Source organism: Homo sapiens, chromosome 18, assembly GCF_000001405.40.
Source record: "Homo sapiens chromosome 18, GRCh38.p14 Primary Assembly".
NCBI lineage: Eukaryota > Metazoa > Chordata > Mammalia > Primates > Hominidae > Homo > Homo sapiens.
In genome coordinates, this window is record NC_000018.10 from 33,241,503 (window position 1) to 33,262,899 (window position 21,397).

Here is a 21,397-nt window from a genome sequence, read left to right on the forward strand (position 1 = left end):
GATAAATTCCTTAAAGTTGCGAGATATAAAGTCAACATGAAAATTCAGTAGCATTTTTATACATGAACAATGAACTAGCTGAAAAAAATAAGATGGCCATCCTACTTACAATAGCTATAAAAAATAAAAATAAAATACTTAAGAATGAATTTAACTAACGAGGTGAAATATTTTTACAAGGAAATCTATGAAACATTGATAAAAGAAATTGAAGTGGATACAAACAAAATGGAAAAACATCCAATGCTCATGGATTGGAAAAATTAATATTGTTAAAATTAATATTGTTAAAAATTGATAAACAATTAATATTGTTAAAATAGTATGTTAACCATACTATTCAAATCAATCTACAGATTCAATGCAATTCCTATAAAAATACCAAATATGTTCTTAATAGAAAAAGAAAAAATCATCTTAAAATGTGTATGGAACCCCAAAAGACTTCAAATTACCAAAGCATTCCTAGCAAAAAGATCAAAGCTGTAGACATTATACTACCAGACTTCAAAATTCACTACAAAGCTGTGTTCAAAGATAGCATGGTACTGGCATAAAAACAGTCACATAGACCAGTTAAACAGAACAGAAAATCCAGAAATTAATTCACATATTTACAGCCAACTGATTTTTGACAAAGGCACCAAGAACCTACATTGGGAAAGGACAGTTTATTCAATAAATGGTGCTAGGAAAACTGGATATCCACCTGCAGAAGAATGAAACTAGACCCTCTATACAAAAATCAGCTCCAAATGGGTCAAAGACCTAACTGTAAGACCCCAAACTACAAAACTACTAAGAGAAAACATAGGATAAATGCTTCAGAACATTGGCCCAAGAAAAGATATTATTCCAAAGACCTCAAAAGCACAGGCAACAAAAACAAAAATAAACAAATTACATTATATTTAACTAAAAACCTTCTGCACAGCAAAGGGAACAGTCAACAGAGTGAAAATACCACCTAAAGAACAAGAGAAAATATTTATAATATTTTCATGCAACAGGGGATTAATATCCAGAATACACAAGGAACTCAAACATCTCAACAGCAAAAAAACAAAAAAAATCTGATTTAAAAATGGGCAAATGATCTAAACAGATATTTTTCAAAAAAAAATCATACAAATTGCTAACAAATACAAGAAAAAAAGTTCAACATTACTAATTACCAGATAAATGCAAATCAAAACCACAACTGTATCATCAAACTCCAGTTAGGATGGATAGTATACAAATATGAAAAAATAACAAATGCTGGTGAGATGTGGAAAAAAGAGAATTCATATACTGTTGGTGGGAATTAAAATTAGTACAGACACTATGGACAGCAGGACAGAGGTTCCTCAAAAAACTGCAAATAGGAGTACTGTATCATCCTGCAATCCCACTATTGTTTATTTATCCAAAGGAAATTCATATATTGAAGAGACATCTGTATCCCCATGTTTTTTTTGTGGCACTATTCACAATAGCCAAGATGTGGAATCAAATTAGGTGTCCAACAACAGATAAATGAATAACAGAAAGTGGTATATATACACAATGGAATACTATTGAGCCATAAGAAAGAATGAAATCCTATCATTTGCAGAAACATGGATGGAACTGGAGGACATTATGTTAAGTGAAGTCACTCAGGAATAGAAAGTTAAATACTACATAATCTCATTCATATGTGAAAACGAACCAAAATTGATCTCACAAAAGTAAAAAGTAGAACAGAGAATACTGAAAAGTGGGGTGGGTTGGAAGAAGTAGGAGACAGAGATTTTTTAAAGGATGCTAAATGATGGCTAGATAGAAGGAATAAGTTCTCGTGTTCCATACCACTGTAGGATCACTATGGTTAAGAATAATATACATTTTCAAATAGCTAGAAAGATGATATTGAATATTTTCATCACAAAGAAATGATAAATGTTTGAGATGATGGGTATGTTAATTACCCTAATCTGATCACTATATTATACATGTATGGCAATATCACTATGTACCCAATAAATATCTACAATTATTATATGTCAATTTAAAAAATAAAATTAAAAATAACAGAAAAGGGGCACTCTATTATGGGCTGGCAAAGCAATTACAGTAGAGTTACATCAAACTTGCATTGAATCTGTAAGTTCTATTTTATGGTATCAAAAAAATTTAGAAAAATAAATAATCCAGTGCAACATCTCTTTCATAAGTGAGTACCTCAGATAAATGAAGCAATATGTTCAAAGAATTAAATGTAGTTTGTGACAGCCACGGGGAAAATATGTGAAAGATGACAAAGGTTTCGAGTCAATTAGAAAAATTGAAATACACAGTTAAGTGGCCAAGTAAGTGGATGATGATATCTTCATTGATATCCTCAAAGAAAAAAAAATTAACTGACCAAAATACAGAAATATATTGATATTATTTTAAAAATTATAAACATCTACAATATTATTGTATTGCTAAACCACAGAATCATATGCCTTGTATTTTAATTTATTCTATGCATGCTTACTTTGCTTACTCACTTATCTCATAGAAGATATGATTAACCCATTCAACACCCATTAGGAGAGACATAGGTCATTTGAACAGCTGGATTCAATGTGGGAAAAACACCCCAATCTTTCAGTACAGAAACATTTACACATCCGAAATTCAGATATCACAAAGGAAAGTATTCATTGACGATAATGCTAGCAACAGATGTTGGAAATGGTGTACAGACTGTATATTTTCTAGGTATTTTTTTTTGCTCATAAGTCTTTAAGAAAATAGCAAAGACAGGAGACACGTATGTGTGTAAGATGGATGAAAGCAGCCTGTTGAAGTGGCCCTGCAGGTGCAGTAAAGTGGGGTGGACTTTGCAAGTCTGATATGGTTTGGCTTTGTGTCCATACCCAAATCACACTTTGAATTGTAATAATCCCCACATGTCAAGGGTGGGACCAGGTGGAGATAATTGAATCATGAGGCATTTCCCCCATGCTATTCTCATGATAGTGAGTAAGTTCTCATGTGATTTGATGGTTTTATAAGGGGCTTCCCCATTTGCTTGGCTCTCTTTCCTGCCACCCTGTGAAGAGGTGCCTTCTGCCATAATTGTAAGTTTACTGAGGCCTCCCCAGCCATGCAGAACTGAGTCAATTAAACCTCTTTTCTTTATAAATTACTAAGTCTCAGGTATTTCTTCATAGCAGCGTGAGAATGGACTAATACAAAGCCTCTACCACAAATGGCAGAGAGCTGCTAGCCAATACATCTCTCACTTAGGAGTGGGTTTGAAGCATGTGAGCAATTATTTCTGCAGAAATGTAGTCTACAAATTTCCAGGTACTCTAGAATTCAACAACTCATAGGCCTACTAGAGGTACTTTCTATTCTCACATTACATAAGGTAGACGAACACCTCTCAGAATCCCTTCTTCCTACTACAGGCAGACATTATTATGTGTTAGATATATAGGATAAAGATGAACTGAGCACCACACTCCTGGTGCTCCAAGTAGTTTATGGTTGATAATAGCAAAAAGTAGAAACAATTGTGGATTAGCTACATTGAGCCCTCATCCTCTTCTATTCAAGCTGAGCCTTTGGAGAGAGGTGGTTTTCTTCTCATTTATAAGAAGTGAGTTTTTGAAAAGACTGTTAATCCTTAAATTAAAATCTAATTATCAAGATGAAATCGATACAATTCAGGTAAATTACTCTTTTTTTCATCATGAGTAAGAGGAACACAAAGATACACAACCTTGAACTTTCTTCTCACTTCTGCTATTTTATCTTCCATTTCATCTGTCTTGTGTTTGGTTAGGTGGAAAAGAGTACCAATGCGATAAGCCTCCTTATAGATGTTCTTGAGATGTTTATCATTCTTTAACTTCATTATTGTCAAATATTTTATTTCAGATTCGTATTTTGATTTTTTCCGTATGCTGTAAAAGTAAAGCAAAAATTAATATTATTGAGTATATAGTGAGACAAACATATTTAATAATAGTAAAAAAGAATAAGATCATATTTTATGTTGTCAAAAATACAAAATTGCTGGATAATTAGCTAAAACTTGAAGACAGAACATGTGTCCTAGGACTCCATTTATTCTGCTGCTTCTGATGGTTACCCCTAATTGTCAGGCTGTTTCCAATTTCAGAAGCATAAGAGCATCAATAAGAAAGGCTTGGGGAATCCGGGTGCTTGGCTTTTTGAACATTCAAAATCCCTTCTATACTCCTTTCCATTTCAATTTGTGACTTCCATAAAGGTGTTTTTACGAGAGAATATGTTCAATGGAAAAGCCTAAACAAAAACCAAAGCATATACAAGAGCAAAGTTTCTCAACTTCGATATTATTAACATTTGTGGTGGCACAATTCTTTTTGTAGGTGGGATGTCCTGTGCATTGTAAGTAAGATATTTTGCAGCATCTTCCACTAGATGCCAGCAGCACTGTCTCAGTTGTAGCAGCCAAAAATGTCTCCAGCCACTGCCAAAAATCCCCTAAAGGTACAAAATTATCCCTGTTGAGAACCACTTGAATAAAGCAATGGTTCTCAACACTAACTCCACATTATAATAACCTGCAAAGCATTTAATAAAACTTTGTGCTTCTAAAAATGGATTAGTAGGCTTATAATAATATACAATAAATCTGGGGTAAAGCTCCAGCATCACTATTTTTAAGCACTCCATTTGATTCTAACATGCAACCAGAAAGCAAACTATAGATATTAACTGGAGCGGTATCTAAACCTTGTATACACATAAAAATCACAGGGAGAGCTTTGAAAGTCACAGATTCCCAGGCTTCACTCTCAGAATGTGGTTCATTAGATGCAGGATGGGTCTGAGAATAGCTCCCAGGTTGATGACACTTGGTTGCAGATCACACTTCATTCAAGTAGCACTGCTCAAGAGGTTGGGGTGAATACACATGATTAGCTTTCACTTAACAGAACACAGAGAAGATTGAATTAGTGTGGCCAAATCAGCTGATGATGAGCTGCATTGATCCTTCATTTTCACCTATTCCAAAATAGGATGAAAGAATGATGTAGAAATAAGAATAAACATACATTCAAGGCAAGCAGGAGACATAGCTAGGCTCACAAACAAGGTAGAATAGAAATGGGGTCAAAAATCAAAGCATAAGTAGAGGAGAAGAAGCATAAAACTAGCTGAAGGTGTTGCACCAGATGAGCGACCAGTGCAAGGTTCACTGACTCATGACAGGGCTTTGCATGAGCTGTGCTTGATGTGAAAGGATCATTCACTGACTGGGGCTAAAGACACATAGAGAGCAAGGAGCAAAGGCATTGAGGAGAACAGATCCTGAGACCAATAACTCAACAATGCTGCCTATTGAATCAGTAATTGCAATAATGTTATCCCCAATATCATCTTTGTATGATCACTGGGAATCAGAAAAGATGACCATAAATGGAAGAATTTAAAGATTGGTTAATTGGGACCAAGTAGGGTGAGGTAGAAGCAATGACATAATTTCAATTGGAAAGAGATAAACAAGAAGATATGTGTGTAGGAGAGAGAGGGGTGTATGTGTATATATGTAAGTGTGTTACGTGTGTGTGTGTGTGTGTGAGAGAGAGAGAGAGACAGAGTCAGAGAGACAGAGACAGAGAGAGAAAAGAGACCTGCTTATTTAGAATGGGAGGCCTCAAAAAGGACACCAAAACATATTAAGAAATATCTTGTTTCCAAAGACCTAGCAATCAGAGTGTGAACCCAAAGCACTTTAGGTGATACTGATTTTATGAAACATTCTGACAAAGAACTTAAAATAAGTATATTTAAAATGCTCAAAGATCTAAGTAAAGAAATCACTGATTTTGTAAAAGGAAAAGAAATTTTGACACACAGCAGAAATTAGACAAAAATAGATAGATGGGGAAGACAACAAATTTTAAGGAATAATGAAAAGAAATATGGACAGAAATAATTAAAATAGTTTTGAAATAGAACCAAAAAACCCCAAATTGAGAAGAGACAAAGAGAGTTTTGGATTAATAGGAAGGAATGAAGTACTAAGGTATTTACTCAAATAACACAAAAAATATGGGGTGTGTGTGCAAGCACACACAATATATATGTGTGGCACGTTTGTGTCTATACATAGTGTATGTATACTTTTGAGTCTATGGGTACTTATGTTTGTGTACACATGCATATTTGTGCTTGTGTAAACTTTTTGTGTTTACTGTGTACATATGTGTATATGTGTGTTAATCTTTGTGCATGTATGTGTATATATGTTGTGCATGTTTATACATGTATTTGTTTTGTGGAAAACACAGTCCACGCATTAAATGGAGTGGGATGAATGTGTGGTGTGTGTTTGAGTATGTGTTAAGCGACATTCCAGTTGATTTTCAGAAGGAACAATAATAAGGTATGTTGTGTAAAGACTAGAGAAATTTTCCATACTCCCTATGAAGATTAGTTTAAAAATGCGAGAAATTTCTAGACTTGAGAAAAAAATAGGACCACAGACCAGATAACAAAATCAATTGTGAGTACTGAACATTATAAAAATAAAAAATCTATAGCTAAAGATATTGTGATAAAACAGCAGAATATTAAAGATACTTATTAAGGACATACAAAGTGATGTAATAAATGCCAAAAGAAAATTATTATCTTCAAATCTAAGCAAAAATAAATGTGAAGCTATAGTTCCATACATTGCCAAATTATTATTCAACATTGATGAGCTAAACTGACGTAGCTTAAGAAAATTTACCAGAAAGCCTTTATTTTTTTTTATTTTTATTTTTTATACTTTAACTTCTAGGGTACATGTGCACAATGTGCAGGTTTGTTACATATGTATACATGTGCCATGTTGGTGTGCTGCACTCATTAACTCATCATTTACATTAGGTATAGCTCCTAATGCTATCCCTCCCCCTTCCCTCACCCAACAGGCCCCAGTGTATGACGTTCCCCTTCCTGTGTCGAGTGTTCTCATTGTTCAATTCCCACCTATGAGTGAGAACATGTGGTGTTTGGTTTTTTGTCCTTGTGATAGTTTGCTGAGAATGATGGTTTCAGCTTCATCCATGTCCCTACAAAGGACATAAACTCATCCTTTTTTATGGCTGCATAGTATTCCATGGTGTATATGTGTCACATTTTCTTAATTCAGTCCATCATTGATGGACATTTGGGTTGGTTCCAAGTCTTTGCTATTTTGAATAGTGCCGCAATAAACATACGTTTGCATGTGTCTTTATAGCAGCATGATTTATAATCCTTCAGGTATATACCCAGTAATGGGATGGCTGGGTCAAATGGTATTTCTAGTTCTAGATGCTTGAGGAATCGCCACACTGTCTTCCACAATGGTTGAACTAGTTTACAGTCCCACCAACAGTGTAAAAGTGTTCCTATTTCTCCACATCCTCCCCAGCACCTGTTGTTTCTTGACTTTTTAATGATCGCCATTCTAACTGGTGTGAGATGGTATCACATTGTGGTTTTGATTTGCATTTCTCTGATGGCCAGTGATGATGAGCATTTTTTCATGTGTGTTTTGGCTGCATAAATGTCTTCTTTTGAGAAGTGTCTGTTCATATCCTTCACCCACTTTTTGATGGGGTTCTTTGTTTTTCTCTTGTAAATTTGTTTGAGTTCATTGTAGATTCTGGATATTAGCCCTTTGTCAGATGAGTAGATTGCAAAAATTTTCTCCCATTCTGTGGGTTGCCTGTTCACTCTGATGGTAGTTTCTTTTGCTGTGCAGAAGCTCTTCAGTTTAATTAGATCCCAGTTGTCTATTTTGGCTTTTGTTGCCATTGCTTTTGGTGTTTTAGACATGAAGTCCTTGACCATGCCTATGTCCTGAATGGTATTGCCTAAGTTTTCTTCTAGGGTTTTTATGGTTTTAGGTCTAACATTTAAGTCTTTAATCCATCTTTAATAAATTTTTGTATAAGGTGTAAGGAAGGGATCCAGTTTCAGCTTTCTACCTATGGCTAGCTAGTTTTCCCAGCACCATTTACTAAATAGGGAATCCTTTCCCCATTGCTTGTTTTTGTCAGGTTTGTTGAAGATCAGATGGTTGTAGATGTGTGGTATTATTTCTGAGGGCTCTGTTCTGTTCCATTCAGCTCTATCTCTGTTTTGGTACCAGTACCATGCTGTTTTGGTTACTGTAGCCTTGTAGCATAGTTTGAAGTGAGGGAGTGTGATGCCTTCAGCTTTGTTCTTTTGGCTTAGGATTGACTTGGCAATGTGGGCTCTTTTTTGGTTCCATATGAACTTTAAAGTAGTTTTTTCCAATTCTGTGAAGAAAGTCCTTGGTAGCTTGATGGGGATGGCATTGAATCTATAAATTACCTTGGGCAGTATGGCCATTTTCATGACATTGATTCTTCCTATCCATGAGCATGGAATGTTCTTCCATTTGTTTGTGTCCTCTTTTATTTCATTGAGCAGTGGTTTGTAGTTCTCCTTGAAGAGTTCCTTCACATCCCTTGTAAGTTGGATTCCTAGGTATTTTATTCTCTTTGAAGCAATTGTGAAGGGAGTTCCCTCATGATTTGGTTCTCTCTTTATTAAAATAACTATTAAAGAATCATTTTAGCCACTGGAAAGTGAACAAAAAGGATAAACAAGATGATATAAAAACAAAAATGAATGAGAAATGTCAACAAATATATGTATTGATTGTGAAAAATTATTATTTAAAAGTGAAACTAAGGCACCAGATAACTATTTTAAAAATAGGACAAGTGTAAAGATGTTCAATAGTAATTTATTTTTTGCAAAAATATGTGTAATGCTCAGGAGGACAGTAGAAAAACTAAATAATTCCAGATTAATTTAAAATGTCTAGAATTATCTAAACATGTTTTAAAACTAGTGTCACTAATTAGGCTTATCATAATACTATGTTTAAAAAATAAGCTCCACTGCTGCCTAAAAAATAGACTGGGGACTAAACCACTCAAAAATTTGAAAATAAACATTAGTGCAGCAACAGTAATATCACAAAATATAATTTAATGAGAAAATCATGAATAAGAAACAAGGTAAAAGTAGATAATAAAAGAAAACAATTCAACAAGAAATGAAATATTTATTTAAGTCAATGTCTCTGACTATGTATTTTCAAAATATGTAATAAAATTGCAGAATTATAAGAAGCAATTCACAAATCAACTATCAGACTCCTATCGGAACATCATAGGACAGGAAATAGGATAGATAGGTAGCAGGTGTATATAGCAAAACTATACCCGAAAAATTTCAGTACCAAAACCCAACAAGGATCATCAAATTGAAAAGTCTTACTTAGTACTAAACTGAAAAAATTACACACACACACATAGCTACAAACAAAATTGTGAAATTTCAGAACTCTTAAGAAAAGAAAATTCTGAAGTTCCCAGAGAGAAAAGACAAATTATTTACAAAGAAATTATATCCAAAATGTCATCAGATGTCCTACCAAGCAAAACTGAATAAGAAAACAATAAAAAAACCTTCAAATTAAGGAGAAAAATTGACACTGGATCCAGAATATGACACGGAGATAAGCCTGGTTGAGTGGATTCAATAGAGAATTAACTGTGAGTTCACAGAAATAGACGTGTTTATTTTTTAAAGTTTTGCTACAAAAAAAATAGAAAGAGATGAGTTACAGGACTAAGGTTTATTTTGTGTTTTCATACTTTATAAAATGAGCAATATTATGCAAAGCTCATGGGCTGCTAAAGATGAATAATGATTCATGGGAAAAAGGATATACTCGTATTGTGTACCAGTAAGCTGGTAAGAGATTGAGATAATTCTCATTCATTATATCTATACTCCCTATGAAGAGGATGATTAGTTTAAATTGAGGATAATATGGTTATTAGGAGTCAAGAGAGGGAGAAGATATAAAACAGTCATCAGAAAAGTGGAATTGTCTAGAAATTTCTTGGTCGTGCTGAATATCACTCAAGATTTATGGTCACAGAATTTAAGTTCTACTCAGAAGTAAATTTATTGTGCTGCTAATGAAGCTTAAACATGAGGGCCTCTAATTGGCCCCAGTCCCTTACAAAGTCCTTCGAGTGTCTCCCTAGCAGTGTTTTCACATGGTCATATGTTTTTATAAAGTTTGTAGAAACAAGATATTTTAATCAAAATTGATGAAGATCATTCTCTCTTTCTAATACAAGGTCTCCTCTCTCAAGTGGTATTCAAGTAACTGTGGGCATTTTGTATTCATAATATTGTTTTCTTTTATCTACTGCCCCCATATACTATAACCTCTAGGGCCCACCAAACCAGGATCCACCCTGTGAGGCTACTTAGCATACTTGTGTTTTATTTTAGCCACATTCAGCTGCTAGGAAAAGTTCAATGAAGAAAGCTGCTGGTTTAGTTAGGGATAGGGCTTTTCAAGTCATAAAAACACAGTCTTGAATGTTATTTAAATATGTGCTTATTTTGATCCAATGTAACTAGGTTCTGTAAGAAGGGAAAGAAGGACAATAAGGTGGGATATAAAAATGTAGTAAGGATGATAGTTTGGTCATCATAGTGTCAAATATTTGTTAGAGTGAGGGTGCTAGTAGAGTAAGTTAGAAAAAGAGGTATTGGTTATCTGAAAGCGGATAATTAAAATTGAGACCAGGAAATAACTCAATTCTTGGAAATGACAAAAACAGAGTAAAACTATAAGAGAAGGTGGTTGGTGTAGGACGGAAGAAAAGATTGTTGAAAATGAGAAAGCTAATGGATTGAAAATCTAAGTTCTTGCATGGACTGTATCACCCAAATTCATATTTCAATGCCTCTGCAGAGGTAGAAAGTAGGAATAGAAAGTATAATTTATTTTTAGTATTCAACTCTTGGAAAAAAAAGTCTAAAATGGGCTAACTAACATGTGGGTGAGTAGTTAATTTTAGATGATGTATATATCATTTTAATGCATTATTTGTATACTTTTATCTTTTAATGTCTGAAAAAATTAAAAACCAAAAGTAAAATCATTTAAAACATTGATGCAAAAGTTTGTTGTGCAATGCTGGAAAAAGAAGAATTTGACACTTCTGTGAAGCAACTCAAATTAATAGACTGGTAAGACATAGCTAAATGGGTATGAAAAACACAGCACCCTGTGGATTCATTCTAGGTATTCCAGGCTATTTAACAACTTCAGTAATATTCGAATTGCTATCTCTACAAATAAATCACCACACTGTTACTTCTTAAAAAACAAACTTCATAAAATATGCCAATATATCTCTATATTATTCAATAGCTTTTTTGCTCATTTCCCTCAATTACCAACCCCATCTTTGGCTCACTGCAGTTACAATGGCATTGTCTTGCTTAAGATACAGTTGAACACTAGAAATAGATATTTAGAATATTTTACAGAGCTTGAATGTAAGAAAATGACTATATAGAAATTCATACCACACAGTTAATTTCAAGCAAACTAAATCTAAGTTAATCAATTTCAAATCATTTTAAACAAGCTCATTTTCCTTGACTTAGGTTTTTGAACCCTGCCTATCATGTGAATAAGCAATCAAGTAAAATTGTTTGCTCAAGTCAAATGTCCCAAATGTAAAGGGTCTATTTCTAATGGATGCTCATTGGTTTGAAAGACAAAATTACCAAATTATAAACTGCTTCTGCAAGGTAAACAATCATATCATCATCGTTGTCACAAAAAGGTCTAGTAAGTATTTGTATGTATAGGATAACTGAACAAAGTCTGTTAACAAATATGGCATCTGTGTTTTAACGTTGGCATTCTGAAGGTAAACTATATATGAACAGTATACCATATATTGCAGTAATTACGTAATTTATTTAAACAGTGTAAAAGTCTGGAAATGACATCAAATGTTGAGATAGTTTTCTAATGGAATCTTAGTGTACATAACAGTTCCAATATGAGGATGTTTCATGGGGATATTCACTAGACTTATGAAATCAGTGATTTGCTTTTTAACCATTAAATTATGTTTGGACTTAAGGAAAAAGAGAAACTGGGACTAAGGGGAAGGTGATTCAGATAAATGGTAGAGTTAAAAAAGATAAAAAATAAAGGAGAGAGTAAGAAGAACAGAGCTTTCTGAGATAAACAATGGATATAGTCAAATGTAGAGATGGAGAATTAAGTTAAACCATAAGCTTTTGATTTTTTTTGAAGTAGGTTTTGTGTCCAAAATCTTCTGCAACATGTCAGAAATAAGAATCAAGACTTACCTAACGGAAGAGAAGAGGCTGTGTTGCTAAGTGGAAAGAACATAAATGTTGGAGTTAAGTAGACCTGTATTCAAATCCTGATTGCTCCTTATGTAATTGGGGAGGATGGTTTCATACTCAATATCCTTATCTGTAAGATTAATTTAATAATACCTATCATCAAAGTTGTAATCAAGATTAAATAAATTGAGGGTAATATATACATACTGCTTACCTGCACTGAATAACATAAATGATTCAATAAAGTTTTTATTAATTAAAATAGTATATAAAGACTGCATGACTCTTTATAGTGTTCTCTGCTTTAGTGAGATGACGCACAATGAGAGGGAAAAAATATAAGAAAAATAATCATTAGTCTTGCTTTGGAACAGAAAGAGACACAAGTGGATGTGACATCAGAATACATAGCACAGAGAATAGGAGGACGGAGATACTGAAGCAAAGGAAGAACTAAGAATAAACTTTTATATTTAGCTATCATTCATTCATTATGTCATTTATTCAACATCTATTGAGAAACACACACACACACACACACACACACACACACACACACACACACACACAGATACATATAATGAAGGCAATTAAGCAGCTCAGGCCAGACAGGAAGCAACAAATAAGCAAACCGGCAGTAACTGTACATAGTGTGGAAAGTGCTAAAAGGGAAGTATGGAACCAAGGAAAGTTAGTTAAATGGATACTTATTGAGCATTGATTATATGTCAACAGCTGTGCTAGGTGACTGAGATATGAAGATAAATGGAAACAAGTTTATACTCTCATGAAGGAAACAGGAAACAAAAAACAGATTCCAGTGCAATAATAAGACAATAATGGAAGAGGCACTTTACACTGTTTTGGTTTGTAGACAAGGGAAGATAAGTTACCAATAGGACAAGCTTCTGGGAATAGCTAATGTCTGAGCTATTATACAAAGGGTGAATTAATCAGATTTAAAAACATGCTGAAGAAGAAGACGAAGAGAAGGAAGAGGAGGAGCAGATGGAAGGAGAAGGAGGAAAAAGTAAATTCCTATCAGAAGAATATTGGAGACCAAACTGAAGCTGAAAACAATATGAGTTCAGATGCATAAGCATTTTAATAGGCTAGAACATAAGGATTGCTAGGGTTTGGAGATAGTTTGTTTGTCACTGTTAAAACCCATGTTGACATCTGATCCCCAATGTGACAGTGTTACAGGGTGGGGTCTAGCAGGAAGAGTTTCAATCATGGCAGCAAATCCCTCATGAATGGCTTTGTGCTGTTCTCGCTATAGTGAGCTCTTGCTTTGGTGAGATTGGATTAGTTTTTATGGGAATTAATTAGTTCCCATGAGAGTGGGTTGTTATAAAACCAGGATGCCTCTCAAGTTTTGTGTCTTTGTACCTGTTCACTTCCCCTTTGACCTTCTCCAGCATGTTCTGATGCAGCACGAAAGCCCTAGCCAGGATGGGGTCATGCCCTTGAACTTCCAAGCCTGCAGAACCATGAACTCAATAAACCTCTTTTCTTTACAAATTACCCAGCTTCAGGTATTCTGTTATAGTAACACAAAACAGACTAAGATCATGGAAGGAATAATAAGAGATGAGTTTTAAGTTGGGCAGGTGACAGTTTACAGTGTCCAATCTATCAGTCTGGAAGCATGACTTTATCCAATAGCTGGTAGGGAGCCTATGAAATGTTTTTAAGCTGCTGAAGGAAAATAGTGTTCCCATCATGAGACAATAAGGGCCTGGTTTATTTTATTGGTAATTGAAATAGAGAAAAAGTAAAGTACCCATTGGAGAGATATTTAAAGAAGTTGGTAAGATGCTGGAGTGAGCCAGGAGAGAGGGATATAGAACAACGCCCAAAACAGGTAACTTGGTGGATAACAGTGCAGGATTTAAGTTAGGGGAGAGAGTAGATACTCCACATGATACTGTTGGTAGAGCTAGAGAATGTCAAGTGAGATTAAAGAGTCAAAAAATGTACAGTACATGTTAAAATAAGGGGACCAGGCAAAATTTCTGGGACAGGAGATGGAGCAAGGGTATAAATGGGCTGAGATTAGTACCCTAAACTAATCAAGGACAGCAGAGATATATCAGCTGCTCTAGGATTCCTGAAAAGAACAGCTTCACAGAATTAAAGGAAGAACCTGAAGAATCAAGAGAATGGCATCCTGAATCTCAAAAAGGGATAGCATCAAAGAGGGCATAGACACAAATGCTTGGGTAACATGTAGAAAGAAAGAGAGAAAAAAAAAAAAACGCCTACCACAGGACTGAAAAATGGCCTCATGTATTCAGGAAGAAAGGTCTATTTTGCACTTAAGATAAATTTTGGTAGCATGGGATTTAAGAAGCTGGACTGCTTTATGTCAAAAAATGATTAATAGTGAAAGAAATATTTCTAATAATCTAGCAAATATTGCTAACTATGTGTAATTTTTAATAACAGTAAAAGGGAACTATTGAGTGATTTGCTAAAAGTACAAATAGGATGAAAGCAAACCTTTCATTTTATATTGGAGGAGGATTAATGATGTCTATAGACTAAAAAGATAAGGAAGAAAAAAGATAGTGAATAAAGATTTCAAAAATGGAAGTGATACGAGTAAAACTATGTCTTGAACAGGGCAGAAGAGGTTGAGACCAACAGCACAGATGGACACCTTAGTCTTGAACAAAAAGTATTATTTATCCCTTGGTATCTAAAGAGGAAGGATGCAGATGCTGTCCCTATAGAATACATTTGTTTGACAAAAAGCATGCCAGGCCTTTAATTTCTCCTTCCAACTTGAGTAAACTACGGTTTAAATAAATTAAAGTTTTATTTCTGAGTTTATGTTGTGTGGGATTTATGCTGCTGTTTGAAGCTGAAAATCTATGTTCTAAAAATTATAGATCATCTGCCATTATCTTTTTGAATACTGCTTTCCCCATTCTTTCCTTTATTTCTCATTCTATTTTCCACAACTTGAATATTTCTTTCAGATTTTCTCTCTTTTTCTCTCTGTGCTGTATTCTGGGTTCTATTTTTAGGTACACTAATGAATTTCCCCCAGCTCTTTCTACTATTCAATTAATAGAATCTTCAGTAGAAATGAATCCAGTTTTAATTTTTACAAGTTTTGGTGGATTCTTTTTCAACTGCCTGCACTTTTTGGATAGTGTTCTATTAGTTTGTTTTGTTCCCATTAACTATTTAAAACTTAGATAGAATAAATCTCATAATTGTACAATCTGAGTTCTATTTATTTATTTGAAATTTTTGCTGATAAATTAAGAACCTTATCATTGTTTCTGATAACTTCAATTCATGTTGGAATTTTCCTTATGTGCTTTATAATTTTGTAAGTTCATTTTTAAAAGCCTTACTTTTTGTGTGAGAATCTTGTATGGCCTCAGTCTAGGGTTTATTCCTCCAGTGACTATTTGAGCTGAGCAGGATAACTTTTCTATGATAATTTCTTGGTTAGGGCCTTCTAAAAACACTTTGATGATGTAAATTAAAACATCAAACCATTGTGAAAAGAGGCCAGACTGGGAATGTTCTCACTTGCTTTTCTTTCACCCAGGTCCCAGAAGTAGACAGATACTTTCTTCCTTCGGCCTTTGCTCATGGGTAGATTATTTTCTATTCACTTAAGTGCCCTTACTTTATCCAACTCCTTCACTTGCACAGATCCATGGCCCATGACCTATTATTTGAAGCCACTAAAATTTAATTCCCTTGTTTACCAAGTTCAACAAGGCTATTCTTCCACCCATATTTTCAGGGAAGCCAAATATCAGTTGGGAATTCAGCCTGCAGTTGTTCAATTACTTTCAATGCATTGACCCCTGAGAATTTCCTTTACTTGCCTGTAAGCCCAGCTCTTCATTTAAAAGATGTGAGCTCTGTGTATGCCCCATTTATAAGTGTTCTGTAGCAAAAAACTTTTCATGTTCTCCATTGTCCATATTGCACAAAATGTAAATTCTCATTACTTCTCTGCCTACACTCTCTTTTTAGACATCTCAAACTGTCCCATTGTTTAATTTTATGACTCCAAATTTGTCTTTGGGATCCTCCTCATCACTGGGCTGTAAACCAATGTACCTAATTGTTACTTCTCATTACCATTTCAAGAGCTCATAAGAATCTGAAATTTAATATGGCCTAAGGAGACATATCTTCTCTCCTCAAATCCTCTTCATACCCTCTATAAGCTCTTGTTATTTCAGCAAATAGCCAACCAGTTTTTCCTTCATGTCTTATATCCCACCTACCAAAAGGTCCAGTTAGCATCCCTTCCAAAACATATCTGAATGCCCTACCATTTATACTGCAAAAGCCTTTATCTATATGTCTTAATTATTATATTTTTTTGAATTACCAAAAAAAGCCTTCCATCTTAAATGCACCAAAGTCCATCCATCACTAAGCAGCCCAAGTGATCTCTCTAAAATATAAGATTATGAAAATGCCTTAATCATAAGCCTCTATCATTAGCACACTTACAGGCTTTTAGTATATGAGCCCTGTCTGCCTTACCAACATTTGTCTCTGTGAATTACCCCTCTCATACAATTTTCTAGCAACACCGGCCTCCATTCTCTCTTCAGAGCACAAAGAATTTTTATCTGTCTCAAAGCTTCCTCTTATACTTGGAATTCTCTTCCTCAGACGTGCTTGACTGACATGTCTTCATTCCGGTCTCAATTCCAATGTTAGTTTCTCAAAGAGGTGACACCGAATATTCTTGCTAAAGCAGAGTCCTCAACCCTGCCCTGGCCTGTCATTCTCTACCACATTATTCAGTTTTATTGTCCCCACAAGAGTACCAATGACTACAATTTTAACTATATATTCATTAGTCAACATGTTTATTATTATTTTCCTATACAACAATGTAAATTTAAACATTGTCGTGAGCACCTCAAACAGTGTCAGACACAAAGCAGGTGCTCAGGACATACAAACACACTCACACACCTGCTTTTTAAGTCTGTTTTCTTTAAATATAAATATATTTAGTCCTAAGTATAAACTTACAACATTAGTTTATGAATCATAGTTATGTTATTAAATTGCTGTTTGAAAACATTTTAAATGAAGTACAAATAAAGATATATGAAGCTATTTCTCAAAGTGCTAAAAGATAAAAATTATTAATCTCTATATTATTTTATGTATTTTATACAATGTAACAAGTTACACGTAGTATACTACAAATGAATATTTTCTCCTGAAAATATTGTATAGCACATAACGTACATCAACAATGTTTCAGAAACTAGGTTAGTCCTTGAGGATCTAAAAATGGGGGAAATGATGACATAGGCCCTAGGTGCAAGCAGTTACAAGGTGTGGGTTTGTAACTGTAAAAAAAAGGCTGTGCATTTTATCTTTCTAATTTTATATGTAAAAACATCACAAGGCCATATTACTTCAAAGAGAAAAAAATTAACAAATGTAATATCTTCACAGAAAGCAGGGTAAAGGAAACCACAGAATTAAGTTTTTTTGCTTGTTTGGTTTTTAATCCCAGGTAATCATAGTCACTAATAGCTAAAATGAGCTGCAGTGCAGAAGCTCCTGCTAGCTCCTTTCTTGCATTTCTTACTGTACTTATTAGGCTACTGTATTAGTCCATTTTCACACTGCTATAAAGAACTACCTGAGACTGGGTAATATATGAAGAAATGAGGCTTCATGGACTCACAGTTCTTCAGGCTTAACAGGAAGCATGACTAGGAGGCCTCTGGAAACTTACAATCATAGCGGAAGGCAAAGGGGAGGCAAGCACATATTAGCATGGCTGAACAGGAGAGAGAGAGAGTGAAGGCGGAAATGCCACACACTTTCAAAGAATCAGATCTCCTGAGAATTCACTCACTATCACGAGAACAGCAAGGGGAAGTCTGCCCCCATGATTCAATCACCCCCCCCCACCAGTCCCTCTCCCAACATGTGGGGATTCAAGACGAGATTTGGGTGGGGACTTAGAGCCAAACCATATCAGCTACTGAAAAACATAACTTCCATAATAATTATGTATTTTCTTGGGGGCTCATTGAAGGCAGGAAGTTTTCCACATATGTATTGTAACTTTAGAACCTACCATAATGTCTGCATACAATATGAATTCAATAAATGATTAATAAGTGATTGAACACATTTTAGTTGGACTGAATTAACAATTTATGTAATTTAATATTTATTTTAAAAGTAACATTTTATTGAAGTAGAACTTTTATACAGAAGAGAGTACAAATCAGAGTATAGTTCAATGAATTTTTAATGTGAATACACCAGTACCACCCTCATTCAGAAAAAAAAATACACATATATATATATATTACACATGGCCAGCAGAATCCCAGGAGTGTGCTCTCTCAGTCACTACCACCCAATAGGAACTGCTATCCTGACTCCTATGACCATTTTGCCTGCTTCTGAACAAGATCATATAGTATATACAGCCATTTTGTCTACTTTTACTCAATATTATGTTTCTAAGATTCATTCATGTTGTTGTGTGTAGCTGAAATCTGTTTATTCTCACTGCTGCAGAGTATTCCTTTGTATGACTATGTTATATCTTACCTATTCATTCTACTCGTTCATGATTACTACACATTTGTTTATCCTCTTTTGTGAAGTGACTGTTCAGTTCTGCAGATTTCTGTTTGATTATTTGCTTTTTCTATAATTTTTAATTATTTTTGTTATTTTATATTTATCATTATATTATATATTTGTTATTTTATTATTTACTTATTTTTCTTCACCAATTTTTTTGGTTTATCAATTTATCTTCTCAGATATAGCTATAACAAATATATTTTATCAGTCTGTGGTTTACCTTTTCTCTGTCTTAATGGAATGTTTATTCATCAGTTTTTTTCTCTATGATGGTATTTATTTTCCTGTTTAAGAAAACTTTACCTGACTCATATTTATTGATATTTTTCTATGTTTTCTTAGAATTTTGTATTGTTCAAACTTTCACATTTACAACTATGTTCCAAAAAAATAGACTATTGTTTGTTAGATAGGTAGAGGTAAGACTTTTTTTTTGTTTTTTTTCATAAGGCTATTAGGCCATTTATTCTTTGCTGCACTATAGTGGCACGCTTGTCACAAATCTGGTGAATGTATACGTATAGGTCTGATTTTGGACTTTCTACTCATTTCCACTGGTCTGTCTTTTTACCCTAACATGAGTAACGAGTCATTTTACATATTGAGCTCTATTGTTAATTTTGAAAAATGGTATTATAATTTCCGAAGCCTAGTTCTAAAACATTGTTAAATATTTTCTCCTTCTTTAATTTTCCATATACATTTTAATATCAGGGTTTTTTTTTTCTGTTTGTTTGTTTGTTTGTTGAGACACAGTCTCGCTCTGTCGCCCAGGCTGGAGTGCAGTGGCACGAGCTCGGCTCACTGCGAGCTCCGCCTCCTGGGTTCACGCCATTCTCCTGCCTCAGCCTCCTAAGTAGCTGGGGCTACAGGCGCCCGCCACCACGCCCGGCTAATTTTTTGTATTTTTAGTAGAGACGGGGTTTCACCGTGTTAGCCAGGATGGTCTCGATCTCCTGACCTCGTGATCCGCCCACCTTGGCCTCCCAAAGTTCTGGGACTACAGGCTTGAGCCACCACGCCCGGCCTGCATGAGTGAGTGTTCCAGTTCATGGCCAAGGTATGCCCCCCTCTATTGATTTACATCTTCTTTAATTTGCTTCAACAATATTATGTGGTCTTCTGGGTAGTATTATCAGACACCTTCTTGCTAGATTCATTTTGTGGATTTGATGTTTCAAAATTATATTGTAAGAGATATCTTTTCAATTTTATTTCTGATTGCTGTTGCTATCTACTGATATTTCTGTTTTCTAGCTATCTCAACCTTGAACAATACCACAGAGTTTAATGGTTATATAATCTTTTTCACATTTAAATATTCCATAGGGCTATTTGTCCCCATAAATAGTCATTTTAAAATTACCTTGATTAGTTATTTTATTAAATTATAAAATAAAATTACATTAGGAGTTTAGTTACAACTGCAGTAAGACTTTTAATTTATTTGGTTAGAACTTGACATTTTCTCATAACTGGGTCATATTCAAATTTTTGACATATCTCTCTATTCATTTTTAAGTATATTTTAATCACATTTGGTACTCTCTTCATAGAAACTTCCTACTTTCTATGTATGTCTTCTTAGTTGCATTTTGGGTATAATTTTCTAATGAATGAGGTTTTCTCTTATATTTTCTAAGTAGACATTCATGATTTCATGAAAAACCAAACTATGGGTTAGTAGATAGGGTCTATAAAGGCCATTAACTATATTTATTGATTCTGCCCTATCAGATATTGGGGAAATTTTACATTATACTTATATATGGCCAATTGTTATAATTTTTCCACAAAAGTTCTATCTATAAAAATTCAAATTTTTAAGAAACAGATGAAGGAAAAAATGTGAAAATATTTGCCTGATAATTTAAAGTACTTCTGCATTTTACATCTAACATCTATCTCAATGACTATCTTTCCACAATTTCAGACTCACAAATCAAAATGATTTCCAGATACTTACATTTGTATTGTGCCATACACAATCCCAATCAAACATAGCAACATTTACCCTCCAACCTTCCTTTTTTTCATCTACACATTTTTCACTTAATGTCTGGTACCACCATCAAACTAGTTTTTCAAACCTTAACTCATCCAAATACCACTAAAATGACATATTTAAAAGGGAAGTCTGATCATATGGCTTCTTTAGTGGACATCTACAGTCCTCAACTGAGTCAAAATGCCTTAAAATGACTCATTATCTGGCATGATGGTTCCTTAGACTCAATGTTGTCACCTGATGGCCTGCCACATAAAAACACGTATTGCATGCAAACACACACATACACACCCAGACACAAGCACACAGGTCAGATCATGCACTTTCTCTAAGCTTCAGCCACATCAAAAGTGTAACTCTGTGAACCTACCACCATCTTATCTGTGCCCCAAAATATTAATAACAGCAATTTTAACATTAGATCTACTATTTGTAATTGTTATTATTTGACTGATTTATCGAGCATATTTGAACATTTACTAAATGTCAGTTAAATTTAAGTCAGATTAGACTGCAAAAAATGAGAGGAGGTTAATA

General features: G+C 34.3%; 1 protein-coding gene across 10 annotated transcripts in view; it reads right to left on the reverse strand.

Moving 5' to 3' along the window:
* CCDC178 (coiled-coil domain containing 178) overlaps positions 1 to 21,397 on the reverse strand; it is a 503,635-nt gene that overhangs the window by 304,097 nt on the left and 178,141 nt on the right. For 8 of the 10 annotated variants that reach the window (NM_001371120.1, NM_198995.3, XM_011525951.2 and 5 more), the window contains one exon: positions 3,743 to 3,926. In NM_001371120.1, coding sequence (NP_001358049.1) covers positions 3,743 to 3,926 — 184 coding nt within the window. The other 2 variants (XM_011525954.3, XM_011525955.2) reach the window with 2 other exon arrangements.